General features: G+C 33.9%; 1 protein-coding gene across 5 annotated transcripts in view; it reads left to right on the top strand.

Moving 5' to 3' along the window:
* Nucleotides 1-18,037, top strand: part of GPM6A (glycoprotein M6A) — a 369,457-nt gene that overhangs the window by 102,363 nt on the left and 249,057 nt on the right. Inside the window, exon 1 of one of the 5 annotated variants that reach the window (NM_001388090.1) lies at nucleotides 8,322-8,568. The exons of the other annotated variants lie outside the window; for them this stretch is intronic. The gene's annotated coding sequence lies outside the window, so the exon portion shown is untranslated. Of the gene's footprint in view, nucleotides 1-8,321; nucleotides 8,569-18,037 lie in introns of those variants that run through there. 5 annotated transcript variants of the gene reach the window in all.

Here is an 18,037-nt window from a genome sequence, read left to right as displayed (position 1 = left end):
TGGGATTACAGGTGTGAGTCACTGTGCCTGGCCATATTCTGGTTATTAATCCTGTGTCAGATGGGTAGTTTGCAAATATCTTCTCCCATTCTTTGGGTTTTCTCTTCACTTTGTTGATTAGATCCTTTGCTGTGCAGAAGCTTTTTAACTTGATGTGATCTCATTTGTCCATTTTTGCTTTGGTTGCCTGTGCTTGTGAGGTATTGCTCAAGAAATTTTGCTGAGATCAATGTCCTGTAGATTTTCCCCATTTTTTTTTGTGGTAGATTCATTGTCGGAGGTTTTAGATTTATGTCTTTAATCTATTTTGATTTGATTTTTGTATATGGCGAGAGATAGGGGTGTAGTTTCATTCTTCTGCATACGCATATCCAATTTTGCCAGCTTCATTTATTAAAGAGACTCTCTTCCCCAAGTGTATGTTCTTGGCACCTTTGTTTAAAATGAGCTCACTATAGATGTATGGATTTATTTCTGTGTTCTTTACTCTGTTCCATTGGTCTGTGTGTTTGTTTTTATGCCAGTATCATGCTGTTTTGGTTATCATAATCTGTAGTATAATTTGAAGTTAGCTAATGTTATTCCTCCACTGTCTTATTTTTAAATGGTTTTATTTGTATTTCCCTACTTACTAATGATGCTTAGCATTTATCATGTATTTATTGTCTATTTATATATCTTTCTTTGTGAAGTGCCTCTTCAAAGGCTTTTTTCATTTAAAAAATTGTTTTGTACTATTTAATTGTAGAACTATTTTATATTGTCTTTATGCAAGTTCTTTATCTCTGCCTTAATGGGACTAGGAGAATACTACAGGAAAAGCAAATAAATACAAAATTACATAATACAGTTTTAAGTTGTTTAGTAGAAACATGAATTCTGTGCAATAGAGGGGAGAGGAAGAAGCAAATAATTCGTCTGTGGGTGTGGAAGAATATGTGGCATCTAAACATGGACTGAAAACTGACTAAGGTTTTGCTTAACAAAAGAAGCAATACAGTATGTAAGGAAGGAAAGGTGTGAAACAGCATAGAAAGTCAGTTCCATGAGCATGGAAACTTGTCTGTTTATTCATTATTTAGACTCTAGTACTGAGAACGGTACCTGGCAAACTCTTAGGTGTTGAACAAATGGTGTTGAAGAATGAGTAATCGAATCCTTGTGACCTATAGGTTCATGGACAGCATCAGCAATGTTACTAGAGAGAAATGACATGATCTTATTTATTTATTTTGAAGCATAACTTTGATGGCTATTTGTATAATTAATGTCAGAAGGGAGAGAATAGAAGTCAGTTTGGAATATTTTGGTAGTATTTAGTCTTTCATTTAGCACATATTTTTTGAGGGCCATTGTTGGTAGTTTTACCAAGGAAGAATAAGGTGTGAATCCTGCTCCCAAGGGGTTCTCAGAATGTTTGAGAGGTAGAAATGGAAACAGACAGTCACATCACAGTGCAAGCATTACAATGGAGAACGTATTCCCCGAGGGCCTGTGTTTGCAAGGTCATTCTTGGGCATTAGAATCTCTTACTGGAGCTGAATCTACATGGGTATCAACCAGAAGAGGGAAATCAGACAAATGTTTCCATAAAAGATGTACCATAAACAAACCCTCTGAGACCCAGTGAATATAGTAAGTAAGAAGCAGCTTGGAATTCACAGAGGTTCAAGGTCAAAAACAGAAGTAGGTCAGAGGTAGTTGGGTGTCAGGTCTTGGGGAACTTGTAATTATATATGGAAATGTTTGAGTTTTATCCATTCAGTGATGAACCACTGAAGTGATATAGGCAGAGGAATGACATAATCAAATTTACATTTTACATAGATCATTTTAAAATTTATGTGATAGATGAAAGAAGACAGGATTGGTATGGAGAAATCAGTTGCACTGGTTTAAGGGGTAAATGATTAAGGCAGCTAGAAGGTTTCTCTCAGAGTGATAGCTTTTATTTATCAAAATTAGCTTATAATACCAAACTACCATGGTATAATTCTGATTTAAGGTATTGTTATCTTGCCTGTCTCTCATTATTTACAATTTGAAATTGAGAAGAGAGGCTTAGTGTTGTCTTACTTGCCAACTTTAGTAAAATATAACAGGTATCATTAATGTTGCCAAGAGAAGAGGGATTCTAATTTAAGTAAAGTCAATTTTTAGAATCACTAGCTTGTACAGAGGACCTGATTCTTCAGTTCTGAAATCTAGGCTGATTTTATTCTTTAACCAAAGTAGCTCAATTGACCCAATTAACAATGCATTTCTAGACACATTTTAAAATTTCTGGGAGAGATTTTAGAATAAAAAGGAGTGTAGAGTCTAGTACTAAACTCTTCTTTCTTAAGTTCTCAAGTGCATGCCTCCCTAATCTTAAATATCTTATATTCCAAAGAATGGGTCTCTAACGTTTTTACAGTTTAAGCAAGAAATAAACTCACTAAAGGAATCCAGGGGTAGTAGAAACATTGTGCAATAAATGAGTAGAATCCTGTCCTATGTTGTATTGAGAATTCTTAAATATGCTGGTCTCTGGACTGCATGAAGGAAGGTCCATTCCTCACCTCTCCCCTTCTCAATATACAAGAGACCTGACCTCTGCAGACCGCATTTCACAGGCTTTCCTGTCAGCTGGCTTCCTTTCAGCTGGATTATTCCATCAATGGGAGGCACTGGAGTGAGATTGGAGAGTGGGAAGTAAGGAGAAGCCAGGGTATTTATTATCCTTGTTCTCTGACTTCAGTGGCACCTCTCAAATGCAGCTCCTCTGAGGCTCTAGCTTCCAATGTAAGCCCATCCTGGTTTCAGCCACTTGCACTGACCCTGGACACCACAAGCATCACCTCCTCCCTCCAGCCCAGGCTGGACACCAGCTTCCTACATTTCCTAATCCCGAGGATGTCTCCCTGTCTTCTATGTGGCTTCTTGGCTCTTCTGTCCCCTATTCATCTTATTCCCTGTATTAACTTTTTTGATTTAAATGCTTAGAATGCTTTTTGTTTTCTATGTTGGGCCCTGACTGATTCATGAGGCAAACGAGATCTTTAAGTGCTTGAGTTAATCATCTTGAATTAAACATTTTCAGTGAATATAATAATTTTCCCTGATACACTATTCAAATGAAAGATGCCACCTCAAAGAAGAGGATTTCTGGGTGATTTGAAACAAACAAATGAACCAAAAGTCCTGTCAAACATCAATGTCTTTTCATTGACTAACACAGAATATGGCCTTGAATAACAAATGTGATGGCAAGTTGCTTTACTAAGATATTATTTTATGTATTTCTCCCCAGATTCTACCCTGTCTCCTGCCCCCACCCCAAGAAGATAGACAGGGCCTGTGGTGCCTATCTAATGGGGAGATTTTTGCAAGGCAGAAAACAGAAGCAGAAGACAGAAACAGAAGCAGAAAACAGAAACAGAAGCCTTTTGGAGTTAAAGGCTTTTTGAATTTTCTTAAACTCTTTAAAGAAATAGTGTTGGGTCCATAACTGGGGTAGAGTGAAGACAGAATTTGAAGTAATAAGGCTTTTGAAGAGTCAGATCAAGGCTTAAGGCTTCAAAGGGGGCAGACATGTCTGGATCTCAGGAATAGCTGAACTCACATCAGAATCCCAGGCACCTCCCCGAGCAGGTTGAATGATCTGAGGATAATTTTCTGGTGCATTTAGGGAGGCAGGATGCTAGGTACCTGTGACCCTAAAAAGTTTGTCATAGAGACCCCAGAACTTTGTGGCCTGAGGAACTATATGGATTGGGCTAAGTGTCTGTGGTCACCAAAGCAGAACGATGTGGGATCTTACCATCTACCTTGAGTCCCCCAAAACCCCCTGAGACTTCATCATCCTGAAATGTAAAGCTTCCCCAAAAGATAAAAGTCTAATTTCCTGCCACTCTTCCAGGATGGAAACTAGTGAGTTTACTGACTCATATTTATAAATCCTTTGCAAAAGTAATAATATGTGGTTCACGCTTTTTTATTTACAAAGCTACTACAAATTATATTTTAACAACCAGATGTTAACAGCAACTTTGCTTAGTAAAGGTCATAGGAAAAGGCCACAGATGGAGAGATTCAGGATTAATAAAAGCCAATGTAATAGAAAACATAATAAAATAAAAAACAAAGTAGATCAAATATTTCAGGGTTTATGCCAAGGTATGATTATGAAGAGTTACTAAAAAAGCTGTTAGGAAATATTTTAACTTGAGGTAATTACAAAAAATGCACTATTATACCCATACATCATATACAGTATACTTAATACAGAATTTGGAAAATATTGCAAACCAAATAAATATTCCATTTTCAACAATTTCTATGTTATTAAGTACTTGTGACATTGATTAATTGTATCTTCTACAGTTGAGACTTTACCAATATCCTACTGTTACTATATTAATAGGTTGATTTGGAATTTTAACTTGTTCATAACATGTCATCTGTTTAAATTTATTAGTAACTATATATCTCTTGGTGATATACATACCTGTAGATATTATTTTTCCTCATCTGTGTTTTCAAAATTTTCTGCAAAGAACATGTAACACTTTTGAAATGTTAGTTACCTTCCAAGTTCTTAGTTTTTTCCAATTGGCAATAAGAAAAGTTAACTTATTCACCATTTTTTTTGAAAAGATAGGATGCATTGTTTATATCAGTATTACTTTAATTGAAATTAACCTAAATTTATTCTGAGAAAAATATAAATAGGATTTTGAATCACGTATTCTTTATAGCAACCAAATGGAGTCATTTAGTTTATTCCAGCCCTTATAGAAGCTTACCAAACAGAGCAAAATGGATCACATATTTAAAAGCAAGTTGGCTACACTGGTGGCATCTCAAGTCATTCACTGGCATACTGAATCACAAGATGATTTCATTCTAAAGATCAAAGAAGATTTTGTTTTGCCTTTAAGTATTTGAGTTTGCTTTAAAGTTCACTGATTCATGGTTTCTCACTCTATCGCATTCTGGGTCCCCTGAAACACAAAGTAACACAGTAAAAAAAGGGATGGTAAGACACCAGTTGTAACATGTCTTATCAATGCTGTATACTGATTTGGGAAGCAGTGTGTTACAGTAATAGTGTTTTGACTTTTAGAAACAGAGAATGGGTTTAAAACTTGGACCTGCCACTTAGTAGATGCATGATGTGATACTTAATCTCTTTTTGAACTTCGAAGACCCTTATATAAGAAAATGGGGTCATGTATTCTTTGTATAATATTTTGTGTATGAGTTTTCCTCCTAAATGATACTAGAGTGTGTTTGAAATTAATTAGCCAAAATGATTTAGCCACTCCCCTTTTGACAGATTTTTGAGGGGTTTCTGTGGTTTTACTATTAAAAATATATACTACTAACATTAAAATCCTTGTATTCTTGTTGTTTGTGCAGGTTACTCTGGATTAGGAATGATGAAAGGTAGAAGGGTAGAAAATGTAGTCTCATTATTAACTGGAAGACATTATTAACCATGGAACACACTCTTTTTGCATGCATAAAAATCTCTTTCTTTTCATGAAAAGCAATTGTGGGCAGAATGGAGCAGCTATTTCCTCAGAGGGGAGTCACTCTATCAGACAGAGTTAGTCTTTTATATTTTGTGACTCTGTCTTTCGAGCTAAGGCAGAGCAATTGTTCTTTAGCACCCCTTCCTCGCTTTTTCGCTATATACAGAAGTATCTTCCTATAGATTAGATATAGATGATTTCCCACTTGGACTTAGTAGTTGCTGAGAACACTTAATTTGGTCTATCACTTTTCCTTTTTTTTCTGAGCAAAAGTATCTTCAAAGAACTAAAAAAAAATGTAATTCTAACATGAGGACGGTCTGCTATCTTATCTTCTGTTTTCCAATTATATCTGCCATCTCAGTTTTAAGATCAACAAAGAAGGTGGATAAAGCACTTGTGAAATTATCAGCCACACTGAGACAACAGTATTCTCAGAAGTAGGAGTTAAGGGGTCTCTGAAATAAGAGATTAATTTATTTTTAATCTCTGTCTTTTTTAAGGATTGGATTTTTGACCAATCCATTTCAACAGGAATGATCTCAGAGATAGAATGTGAGGTGTGCAGCTCTCTCAAATGTTGATCATTATATTTTATATCATTTTGTTAATTAATTTATATCGCTTTTTCTTACCGAGTTTTAGCACCTTCATGTCCTACAAAGAGATGAGTTGATAGATATCAGGTTATCTTAGACTACACATTCCTAGAATAAACTTATATTCTTCAGTGAACTTCTGTTTTTACTTAGGAAGGTTAGGAAACGTAACTAGATTATGCAAATCTGATCTGAACAAAGATTTGAAGATATAAAACGAATGAGGTTAGTTATCATCCCCACCTGTCTTATAAGACATTAAGAAGGAATATTATCTATTCAGGGGGTAGTTTAAGAAAAACTGGCCGAGGAAAGAAAGGAGGACCCCATGAAGGTGCTGGAGGATCAGGAGGAAGAATAGAACAAGAGGAAAAAGGCAGTCAGCTTAAGGGAGGCCAGGAGGGAGGCTGATCAGAGTAAGGTCAGGAGAAAGGGAGAAGTGTTTAACTTAGGATTTTAGGTACTCCATGCTTTTATTACCTTTTCTAAGGAGTTCTTAAGGGAATCAGTTTTAGAAATTTCTTAAGTTGTAGAGGCTACTTCAAAAAATAAAAAACGCTGATCATTGAATAGTTGAAATTTTGAAACTTCTCCTTTCCTACGGCATATCACAAAGGATTATTTTCTTCATATTCCAAGTTTTTCTAGTATTATCAATAAAGTTCAAAGTTGTTCTTAATAAAAGCCTGCCACAGTTTAAGAAGCTGGATAGCAGCCCACAAGTACATTGATTCAAAATAAGAGAACCTGAGCATCAGGCTCGTAGGTTTACCATCACTGTCTCCAATGCCTGTCTTATCCATGGGGGAGACCCATTAAGTAGCGAAACAGTGCAAATGAAAAAGCTTACACCAAGGACAATTAAGATGGAAGAATAAAAGCTTAGATAGTGCTTTCAAGCAAAGGGAGCAGAACAGTGGTCAGGAGCAGGACCAGCCCAACTGTCTAGTCACTGGGACTCCAAAGAGAGGAGACATCAACAGAGTGTCTGGCATGATGAAATGCCAAGCACCCAAAAACACAGTCCTGATCTGAGTCTTGACATTGAAACCCTGGAAGAAAATCAGTCAGAACAATATAGGTAAAAATCTGGAAGACGGAGCTTTTATTGAGTTTAGCAAGAGGAAGTAGTTGAAGTTCACCTAGTTTTGGGAATAGTTGCTCAAAGATGATTCTTGTATATTCACTGCCATTGTTTGAGGAATTTGGATTATGTCAACAGGGTGAGAAGGGGCAATTGGGTGAAGGTCATGTGCCAGAGGGGATGGGAGGAAGAGACAGCTGTAGGGATCAAGCAAATGAAAGAGCCGTAGTGGAAAATTTAGTCCTTCACTCTCTCTTACAAAGTGGATGAAAATATTTATTGAATAAAGGAATGAAAGAATGAACAATAAGTATAAGAAGTAAAAATAGAGTGCAACAGGATTTCACAGTAGTGACCATTACTCCAGTTGGGGCTGCTTACGAATTCATGAAATAGTTGACACATGAATTACAAGTTGAAGGATAGACAGTATTGGACATTTGAGAGAGAAGAAAGCACAAATAATGACCAAGAAGTGAGAAAAAGTAGGGAAGGGATAGGGAACAATAAGTAGCAGATTGTTTTTCTAGATGTATTTTTTAAGGTTAATGAAGTAAGTTCGAATGAAATAAGAGGGTATCTTGAGTCCCTATTTAAGGATTTTAATTATGTAAATAATAAATGACTGTGATATTATCTCTCAATTAGGTAGGATTCATATGAGCAAGATGCCATTTGGTTAATTTTGTTCTTGAGAATGTAAATTGTAGTTCGCTTTAGTTACCAAAAGGTGGCAAAGTTACATGCTTGATAGTAGTTTTAAAGTACTAGACTGCTTCCCAAACAAGCCCTCTGATTTTTATTGAGTCTGTGTCAACACACATACAACATGCAAGATAACAACGGGCAAAAGCCACATTGAAGTTTGCTGTACTGCTTGTTGATCTCTGTTCCTGGCAATCCTGCAGCATCACAGCTTGCAATATTATGAATCATAGCCTTGCCTTTTCATTTTATTCTTTATTTAGTACTATAATTATCTAAATGAGCTTTGAAATTATGAGTTGAAGCTTCAGACTAGTCTCTGATTCTGCTATTCCAAGTATAAATTTGGTTCAATACTTTACATGTCTTAAAAGAGCAATGCAGTTTTTAAGAGGCAGTTCAAATTCTCACCACCTTCTTTTCTCTCTTACAGCTTCTCAAGGAATAACTACTGTCCTGAAATTAGAATGACTTTTTTCTGTATGTTTCTGTTTTAATTACTTATTCTGGTTAATGCCTCCTAACAAAGATCATCAGGAAATCTGTATTTGAATAAGTTCGGTACATTTCGATGATGGAGAATGCACATCATAAGAAAGCGTGGAGCACCTCAGTAAGAGGGTGTTAGAAAGGATTTATTACAGATTTGGACTTGCATTAGGTAAGTCTGGGAGGACTCAAGGAAGTGGGACTTTGCTCCAAAATGTTTACTGTTAGGAAGCAGAAGTAATTCTATTATTGAATGTCTTATCAAATCTTACCTAAAAGAAGGGAAGAATAGGATAAAACTAAAGCTGTAACCGGTAGAGAAGCAACAATCACTCCTATTAGCTGGGAAGAGGAAATGACATTCAGTAGAGAGAAGAAAGCATAAATAGAGGAGATTTGGTCATACTTGTGGTTTGGATAATATTCCTGGTTTGCCTTCGTTTAATATGAATTCAGACTTGTTTTTATTTTGGCCTATAATGATCACAAGGTGGCTTTGTCTGATGTTGATGTAAAATTACTTATGTTAAGTAGAAGAATATTAAGCCTATGTCATCAGTCTCATAAAGGTGAGTTCCAGGCCAGACCCTAGTTGTTAGTGTTAGCTTTGCTCACACATGTCAAGGGCTGCTTTTTGCATATATTTATATATCTACATCTAGTTGCATATACTCTATATCATTTGGGCTATGTATCATTTTTTGTGTTTAAATGTATATAAATGTTATCATACTGCATGCGTGATCTCTAATAATTTGATTCTTAAAATGTTCATTCTTAGAGGGGTGTGATGGCTCATGCCTGTAATCCCAGCACTTTGGGAGACCAAAGTGGAAGGATCACTTGAGGTCAGGGGTTTGAGACCAGTCTGGGCAACACAGCAAGACCCCATCTCTACAATATAAAAATAAAGATTAGCTGGGTTTGATTGCATGCAATTGTAGTCCTAGCTACTTGGGAGGATCACTTAAGCCCAGCAGTTAGAGGCTGCGGTGGGCCATGATTGCACCACTGCACTCCAGCCTGGGCAACAGAGCAAGACTCTGTCTCAATAAAATAATAAAATAAAATAATAAAATAAAATAAAATAAAAACATAGCATAACATAAAATAAAATAAAATAAAATAAAATAAAATAAAATAAAATTGCTCTAAACATATTCAGTTTGCTTCTTTTTGACTGTGTGTATGGTTTTCCATTATACAAAAAGCCTCCTAAATATACGTGGACATTCAATTTCATTATGCTGTTTTGCTATTATAGGTAGTGCTGTCAAGAACTATAACTATGAATATATTTTTCGTACATACATATGGAGTTCTTTAGGGTGTTTATTCTAAAATGAAATTACCAGATTCTATAGGATGGACATTTCAACTTTACTAAATATTGTCAAGTTGGTCTCCAAAAATTGATTGTATAAGTTTTTACTTTGTCCTGCATTGTTGCAGAGTTTGTTTTCCTGTATCTTTCAACAGTACTTGTTATCAAATTTTCTCAGTCTTCTGGGTATGCAGTAGAGTCTCATTGTTATTTTCATGTGCTTTTATCTAATTATTAGTGAGCCTGCCTATTTTGTTATATAACTTTTGGCCATTTGGTATTTCCAATTTCGTGCATGGCTTGTTTATATTATTTGGTTATTTTTCCATTGAATGTAGGTGTTTTGCTTGTTGATTTGTAGTGTGTTTTCACATGTTTTGGGTTCCTATTAATTGTATAGTCAGTGACTTATCTTTTCCTTTTTTCATGGCCTCTTCTTTTCTTTTCTTTGCTCGTTTTTCTTTCTTTCTTTCTTTTTTGTTTTGTTTTGTTTTGTTTGAGACGGAGTCTCGCTCTGTCACCCAGGCTGGAGTGCAGTGGCGCGATCTCGGCTCACTGCAAGCTCCGCCTCCCGGGTTCACGCCATTCTCCTGCCTCAGCCTCCCGAGTAGCTGGGACTACAGGCGTCCGCCACCACGCCCAGCTAAGTTTTTGTATTTTTAGTAGAGACGGGGTTTCACCGGGTTAGCCAATGGCCTCAATCTCCTGACGTTGTGATCCACCCGCCTCGGCCTCCCAAAGTGCTGGGATTACAGGCGCGAGCCACTGCGCCTGGCCTCTTTTTTTTTTTTTGGAGACAGGGTTTTGCTCTGTCACTCAGGCTGGAGTGCAGTGGTGTAAACACTGCAGTTGTGACCTACTGAACTCAAGTCATCCTCCTGCCGTAGCCTCCAGAGTATGTGGGACTACTGGCACACACCATCATGCCTGGCTAATTTTAAAATTTTTTTGTAGTGGCAGGGTCTCACCATATTGCTCAGTCTAGTTTTATGGCATTTTCTAACCCAGAATTTTTAAACTTGCATGTGATCAAATTTATCAGTCTTAAAAAAATTGTTTGTATTATTTGTCGCTTAAAAATACTATTCTATTCTAATGACAAAATTATTCTCTTTTTGTTCTAAAAGTTATAAAGTTTTATTTTTCACATCAGATCTTTAGTTCATCTAATTTTGTGTATGTGTTTGTGTATGTGTGCATAATTTGAATAGGAATTTATTTTTCCATTTTAACCATATAGTTTGTCAGTTGTCCAACACTTTTTTCCCATCTGATTTATAATGTTACCTAATTCCTAAGTGTAGTTCTTATAACTACAGGGATCTATTTCTAGGCTCTATATTTAATTACATTCTTCAATTTGCCTAGCACTATGGCAGTATCATAATATTCAATTGTACTTTTTCCTTCTGTTTCTTGGTCAAAGCTGACTTAGCTTTTTGTAGATCTTTATGTTACCGTATTACTTTATGTTGACTATATTATCCTTGGAATCCTTGGAATCCTTTTGGGAATTCAGTAAGTGTTGCATTTAGTTTATACAATTATAGGGAAAATATCTACCTTTAAGCATTGAAATTTTTTATTAGTGAACATGGTCTGTTATCTTCTTTTATTTAAGACATTTCTGTTCTTCAATGATTTAAAAATTTTCTCAGTAAAGTCTTACAGATTGTTTTAGACTTAGATCAAAGCACAGTTATTAAATATGTTACATATTATCTTTATTTTCATATATTGATCTTATATTCAGCAACCTTGCAGAAGTCTCACATTTGCTAATGTATAATGTGTGTTCTTTCGGATTTGCTATAATAGATTAACTGTCTTTGTGAGTGATGACAGCTTTGTTCTTTTCTAGTTCTTGTATATTTAATTTCTGTTTTGATTTACAGAAGCAAACACTCTAGCTTATTCCTGAATTAAAAGGAAATGCTTCTTATGATTTACTCTGTAGTATGCTGTTTCTTATAAAATAAATAATCATTAAGAGATTAGGACAATTTTAATCGATTTCTGGTATGCTTAAAGCCTTTATTCTTCATAAAAGCGTACTGAATTTATCAATTTATTTTATTGCACAAATACCTTGTTCAATAAATTTTTGTCTTAAATCTGTATGATGTATTAAAATAAGATTTTCTAATTTTAAGCTATCTTTGTACTCAGATGTTAAACCATCCTTGAATTGTGATTGGTTATTATGTATTACTTTTCCATTTTAAATTAGATTTTAAAATTTTAGTTTGTAAATAAAATCAACCTCAAATTTTTCTTTTTGATGATGTCCTTACCTGTCTTTGGTATTAAGATTTATGTAGTAATATAGCATTAAGTTGCAAAATGTGCTCCTTCTATTCTGCAACAACTTGTACAAAATAGAAATTATCTCTCCTTAAAGCTTTAATGGGGCCCTTATTTAATAATATCTGGGCCTGGCTATTGATCAGTGGGCAAATTTTTAACTATTGATTATTGAAATTATTATTATGCAGTTCAGGCTTGCTATTTCATTTTGAAACACTTAAAATATGAATTTCATCAACATTTTCAACAAACTTAAGAAATTATTTTTAGTGTTTTTTATTTTTTTTCAAAATTTTTATCATGGTTATATTTTTATTGTGTCTAATACTTTACCTTTCCTCCTTTGTTCTTGATAACACTTGCAGTGGTTTGTCAAACGTATTAGCATCTAGAACACTAGGTTTGAAAATGTTCTTTCTCGTATTCTTGATTTTTTAAATTCTATTAATTACTCTTTTCATCTTTATTGCTTCTTGTGATCAGTGTTTTTCCTTGTATTTTGTTCTTTTAAGAGAATAAGTGAATTTGTTTGAATGTTTTTCTTTCTAAAATATGTATATAAGGCTCTAAATTTTCCAGTACTGTTTAATCTGCATTCCTGTACATTTTGATGGATAATTTTTTTCACTGAAGTTCAGTTGTATTTTGTCAAGTTTATTATTAATTTTTCTTTAACCCACACGTGATTTAGAAGTTTTTAACTTAAATTGTGTTTAATGACCTTTTCATCATTCTTTCCTTATTTACCTGCATTTTGATCATGTGACATTATGAACATTATATAAATTTTTTGGCAGCTGTTGTGACTTAGTTTATGGCTTGATAATTGATTGGTGTTTATAAAAGTTTTATGTATACTGTATTTGATAAACCATGTATTTACTTTAATTATTGGGTACCAGGTTTCATATATGTCCATTGGATAAACTTTTTGTCTTGTTTTTGTATTCTATAACAATGACTTTTGTGTGGAAATATTTTGTTGTGATATTAATTTTTGATTAGTGATATTAAATTAGCTATCAACTTTTCCTTGATTAGTATTTACCTGGCATATATACTTTTCCATTTATTTAGTTTCATTTCTTTTAATTTATTTTTTCATTTTTTTGGTTTCCACACTTGTATCTTATAAGTTGACATAGACAGATTTCCAAAATTCAATTAGAAGCAAGTTTAATCTTATAACACTTATTTAGATTTCTGAGAATTTGGCTTTATTTCTGTTGTCTTATTGGTGTGTGTTTGTGTGTGTGTGTGTGTGTGTGTGTGTGTGTGTGTTTACTGAGTTTTACCTTTACCATTTTCCTCTTTTTTTTTCTCTGTTGTATTTCGTTGATCAAATGTTTTTAACTCTCTTTTTGTCTTTTTATTATATGAAGTTCTTATACCTTTACATTTTTAACATGCACAAATGATGTGACGCAGTCTTAATTTAATCAATATCTCCATTTGATTCTGGACCGTAGAAGGACCTTTTGGTTCAGTGACTTCATCATACTTGTGTAGTTATTTCAGTAAGGTTCTGTGAGTTAGGAACTCCTTCAGGGTTGGTTAGTCTATAAATGTTTCACACTCTTTCTTGAAAGGCAATTTAGCCTGCTTTAAGGTTCTAGCTTGACAGTTATTTTCTCCCAACATTTTACAGACATTATGTCACTTTCTGTTGGATTACATTGCTGCTTTGTAAGTCTTCTTTCAGTCTAATTATAATGCTCTTATGGATACTGTGAATTTTTTCTTTAGTTGCTTTTAAGGTCGTTTTGATATCTAGTAATTTCCTATAACGAGTACAGTTGTAGAAACCCTTTTATTCACCCTGTTACTGGTAGACTGTTCTTCCTGCATCTGAGACAGTGTGTTTTATTAGACAGGTGAAAGTCTAAGCTTTTATTCCTTTTGATATTGCCTTCACTCAGCCTCTACATTTTCTCATTTTGGAACTTCTGCTAGCTATATATAGAATCTCTTTATTCTGACCTCCATGTCTCTTAATGCTGTTTTTTATTTTACGTTTTATCTTTTCATGCTGTATTCTGAGTGATTTCCTCAGATCTTTCAACTCCCTTAAATTTCTTATGTGGTCTGTGTAAATTGCTGTTTCATAGATTTATTAAGACTGTTAAAAAACAGTAAAACTCAAAACATACATATCTAAAATGTGCAAATCCTAAGTGTAATAATTACAGACCAATTAGTTTTCACCATTTGAACACATCCATGTAACCACCACCCCGATTAAGACTAGAATTTTATAAGCAACTGCTACAATGAACATGGTGATGCAAATGTCTTTTAGAGATTCAGCTTTCAATTATTTTGGATATATACCAAGGAGTGGGATTACTAGATTAAGTAATTCTTTTCTTTTTTGAGACAGAGTGTTCCTCTGTCACCTAGGCTGGAGTTCAATGGTTCAATCATGCATCATTGCAGCCTTGCCCTCTCAGGCTCAAGCCATCTGCCCACCTCAGCCTCCCAAGTAACTGAGACTACAGGTGTGCTCCACCACACCTGGATAATTTTTAAAATATTTTGTAGAAATGGGGTCTCACTATGTTATCCAAGTTGGTCTCCAATTCCTGGGCTCAAGAGATCATCCAGCAAGAGGTGTCCCTCATAGACATCCCAGCCCATCCTCCTTAATTTAAACACTATCTATTCCTATCTGCATCAATTACTTTTGTCTGTTTTTGAACCTTTTATAAATGTAAAGTGTGTACTCGCTGTGTCTGGTTTCCATCACTTAACATAATCCTTGTGAGACTCATCCATTTTGTTACAGGTAGTTCTGGTTCAGTAATGATCATCATTTTGTAGTATTTCACTCCATGGTTATACCACAATTTATTTTTCATTCTCTCATTAATGGCTGTGTTGTGTTCAGGTTTTGAATACTATAAAGAGTGCTACTTTGAACACTTTTGATGCACATACATATGTACATTCTGAAAGATATCTTCCTATAGAGCGGAATTGCTAATCATAAGATTTGCATGAGAGTTCCAGTTGCTCTATATTCTCACCAGCACTTAGTATTGGCTATCTCTGCCATGTTACCATTTTGTCTCAAAGAACTTCCAAATTTGCAAAGAAATTTGAAAACAGTAGATTTTTAAAAACATTTTTAATATGTCAAAGAAATATTTCATTTAGAGATAAAAATAATTGGCCTGGCACGGTGGCTAACCCCTGTAATCCCAGCACTTTGGGAAGCCTAGGCAGGCAGATCACCTGAGGTCAGGAGTTCGAGACCAACCTGACCAACATGGTGAAACCCTGTCTCTACTAAAAATACAAAAAAAATTAGCCGGGCTCTTGGTGGGCACTGGTAGTCCCAGCTACTCGAGAGGCTGAGGCACGAGAATTGCTTGAACCCAGGAGGTGGAGCTTGCAGTGAGCTGAGATTGCACCAATGCACTCCAACCTGGGCAACAGAGCGAGACTCCATATCAATAATAATTATAATTATAATTTTGGTCACAATAAATGATGCTTTACAAATATGAGTTCAAATGTTGGATTTATTGGAATTTTAAAATAAGAGTGGTCTTTGCCTTATTTCTTTGTTCTATTGTATGAAACAGTCTGACACTATTTGTACTTAGTTTCCTAAAGGAAATTGTATGAAAGAACCATGAATATAGTTGCTAAAACTGTTCAGAATATATGTGTAAATGATGTGAATCATCACTAGTATGTGAAAATGTTGAAAGAAAAAGAAGACAATGAATCTAACGATCTTGCGTTCTTTGTCAATGCTTGTTGGTTGAGTCATAGAAGAGTTTTACAAAGATTTATAGTTCTATTAACCCAAATTGAAGAATTTTAAAACAAAAGTAATGCTTGACAAATATTCAATAACCAGGGACAAAAATAGCCCTGTGACGTATGTTTTATCAGCAAAGTCACGCTGCTCTACACATGAATTTAAAGCTCCAAGGAAAAGGAAAAGCTTATTTTTGAGGTAGCCAGGCAGTTATGAGATTTGGCTTTGAAATTGAAACTTTTCATAATACAAATCAGTAAGATCAATTTTATACATTTTCAAATATGAATCAATGTATAGGACATTATAATTGTAATCAACTGTATTATGCAAATTGGTTGTAAAAACTAGAAGAAAATTTTCAATAACATTTCTGAATTGGTAAATTTAGAATTGTTTTCAGTTTGTGTAATACCTTAGTGAATTTAATGTCAATATTGAGTTAACACAAAAGTGAATTTGCTTATCTGAGACAGATGTACTTTTGAGACACAGTTTTGAAACTGACACGTTCTTGCTTAAAAACCAAATCTATTGTTCTAAAAAAAAGATGAACAGAGTTGTCAATATTGCGGATATTAAAGGAAGATGATTTTTGATATTCAATTCAGTTATTAGGAAACTTTCAAGTAAGTCTGTAATAACTTGGGAAGATGCATCTATTTTCTTACTGTAAATTATATGTAGTATAAATACAGATCAAGTACTTCTGATGAAAATTTAGCATCCAAAAGGAGATGTGCTATAAGTATAAAATGCTTACTGGATTTTGAAGACTCAGGGAAAAAGTTATGTGAACTACTATCTTCTTAATTTTTTATATTGATTGGATATTGCAAGATAATATTTGGTTTTGAATATTTGGTTAAAGTATATTATTAAAATAAATTTCTTCTGTTTTTGTAATGTGGTTACTAGAAAATTTAAAATTACATATATGGCTCACATTATATTTCTATTGTACAGTGATAGTCTAGAGCAGTAGCTTACATGTGCATATTTTCAGAAGAAGCAATCTCAAACCAGTATGTTACAAAGCAAATTGGGTTAATTACCTGTGTTTCAATCTAGTAGTTTCCCATTAGCTTACTTCCATCAAGAAGTAAGATAAATTCCTTAGGGTACTGCAGACTCTGTGGTCAAATATTTGGCTCTTATTTCAGCCATGTGAGCTACTCTTCTCTCCATTGTACTTTAGTGTGTCTAAAGAAATGAATTCTTTTTTCTATTTTTGATGATGCCATTCAATTTCATGAGTTTTAAAAATTTACATCAATTATTCCTGCTACTTAGAATGCCTTTATCATCTTGACTGCTTGGTGAATTTCTATCAGTTTTTCCAAGACCTTATTCTTATTTGTTCCTGTTCAATAATTTTCTTGAGTTTTCTCACTGGAAGATTAATCACTGCTTACCTCATCTGTATTACCACTGTGTTTTCCACACACCCCTTATCACCTTTTATCAAAATATTTTTGTTTGAAAGATTTATTTTCTTACCACCTGTAAATTCTTTTTGGTCTTGTTCCCTACAGTTTTTTACATGTCTGGCATAGCACCTGGTTTATACTATATATATATGAATATTTTTTAAATGTATGAAAGACAAAAACTAAAGTAAGGTAAAACATCTGACTTGAAAAATAGGATAAAATAAATAAAGGGAAAGTTAAACATTTAAACATTTCTTAAAAATGGTAGTCCAGGTCCATATAGAAATTTTCTTAGCTGTAATGGAAGAATAAATTATTTGTGAAAAATCTGAAATAGTACAAAAAAGATGATTTCCATTTTTATTTAGTAGGAAATAAGGTATTATAATTTAATATATTATTATTGAAGACTTATTCCTTACTGACAGTTTTCTTAATCATCCAACAGCATAAAATAATTTTATTGCTCACTTGTGCATTAAATTACTAGCTCTGTCAGCTACCATTAAATATTTTAATAAGTACATATTAGAGCTTACAGAAAATATTGAAGAAAATTTATGTGACTAAAAATAGTAATTGATATTTTTAGAGGCACGCTACCTCAGGCACAATGGAAAACAATTATGTCTTTCTTGACTTATATTAAATGGAAACAGTGGAAATAGCTAAAATTGATTAATTGATTACAATGATAATAAACTATGGACAAACAAATGCATAACAAATAATTAATCTAAACAATTATATGAAAATCATTCTAATCAATTTCTCCCCTTTTTTAAAATTTATTTTTATTTATTATATT

Source organism: Homo sapiens, chromosome 4 (genome assembly GCF_000001405.40).
Source record: "Homo sapiens chromosome 4, GRCh38.p14 Primary Assembly".
Taxonomy (NCBI): Eukaryota; Metazoa; Chordata; class Mammalia; order Primates; family Hominidae; genus Homo; species Homo sapiens.
Note: the sequence above shows the minus strand (reverse complement) of the source record. Positions and strands in the feature narration are given on the sequence as shown.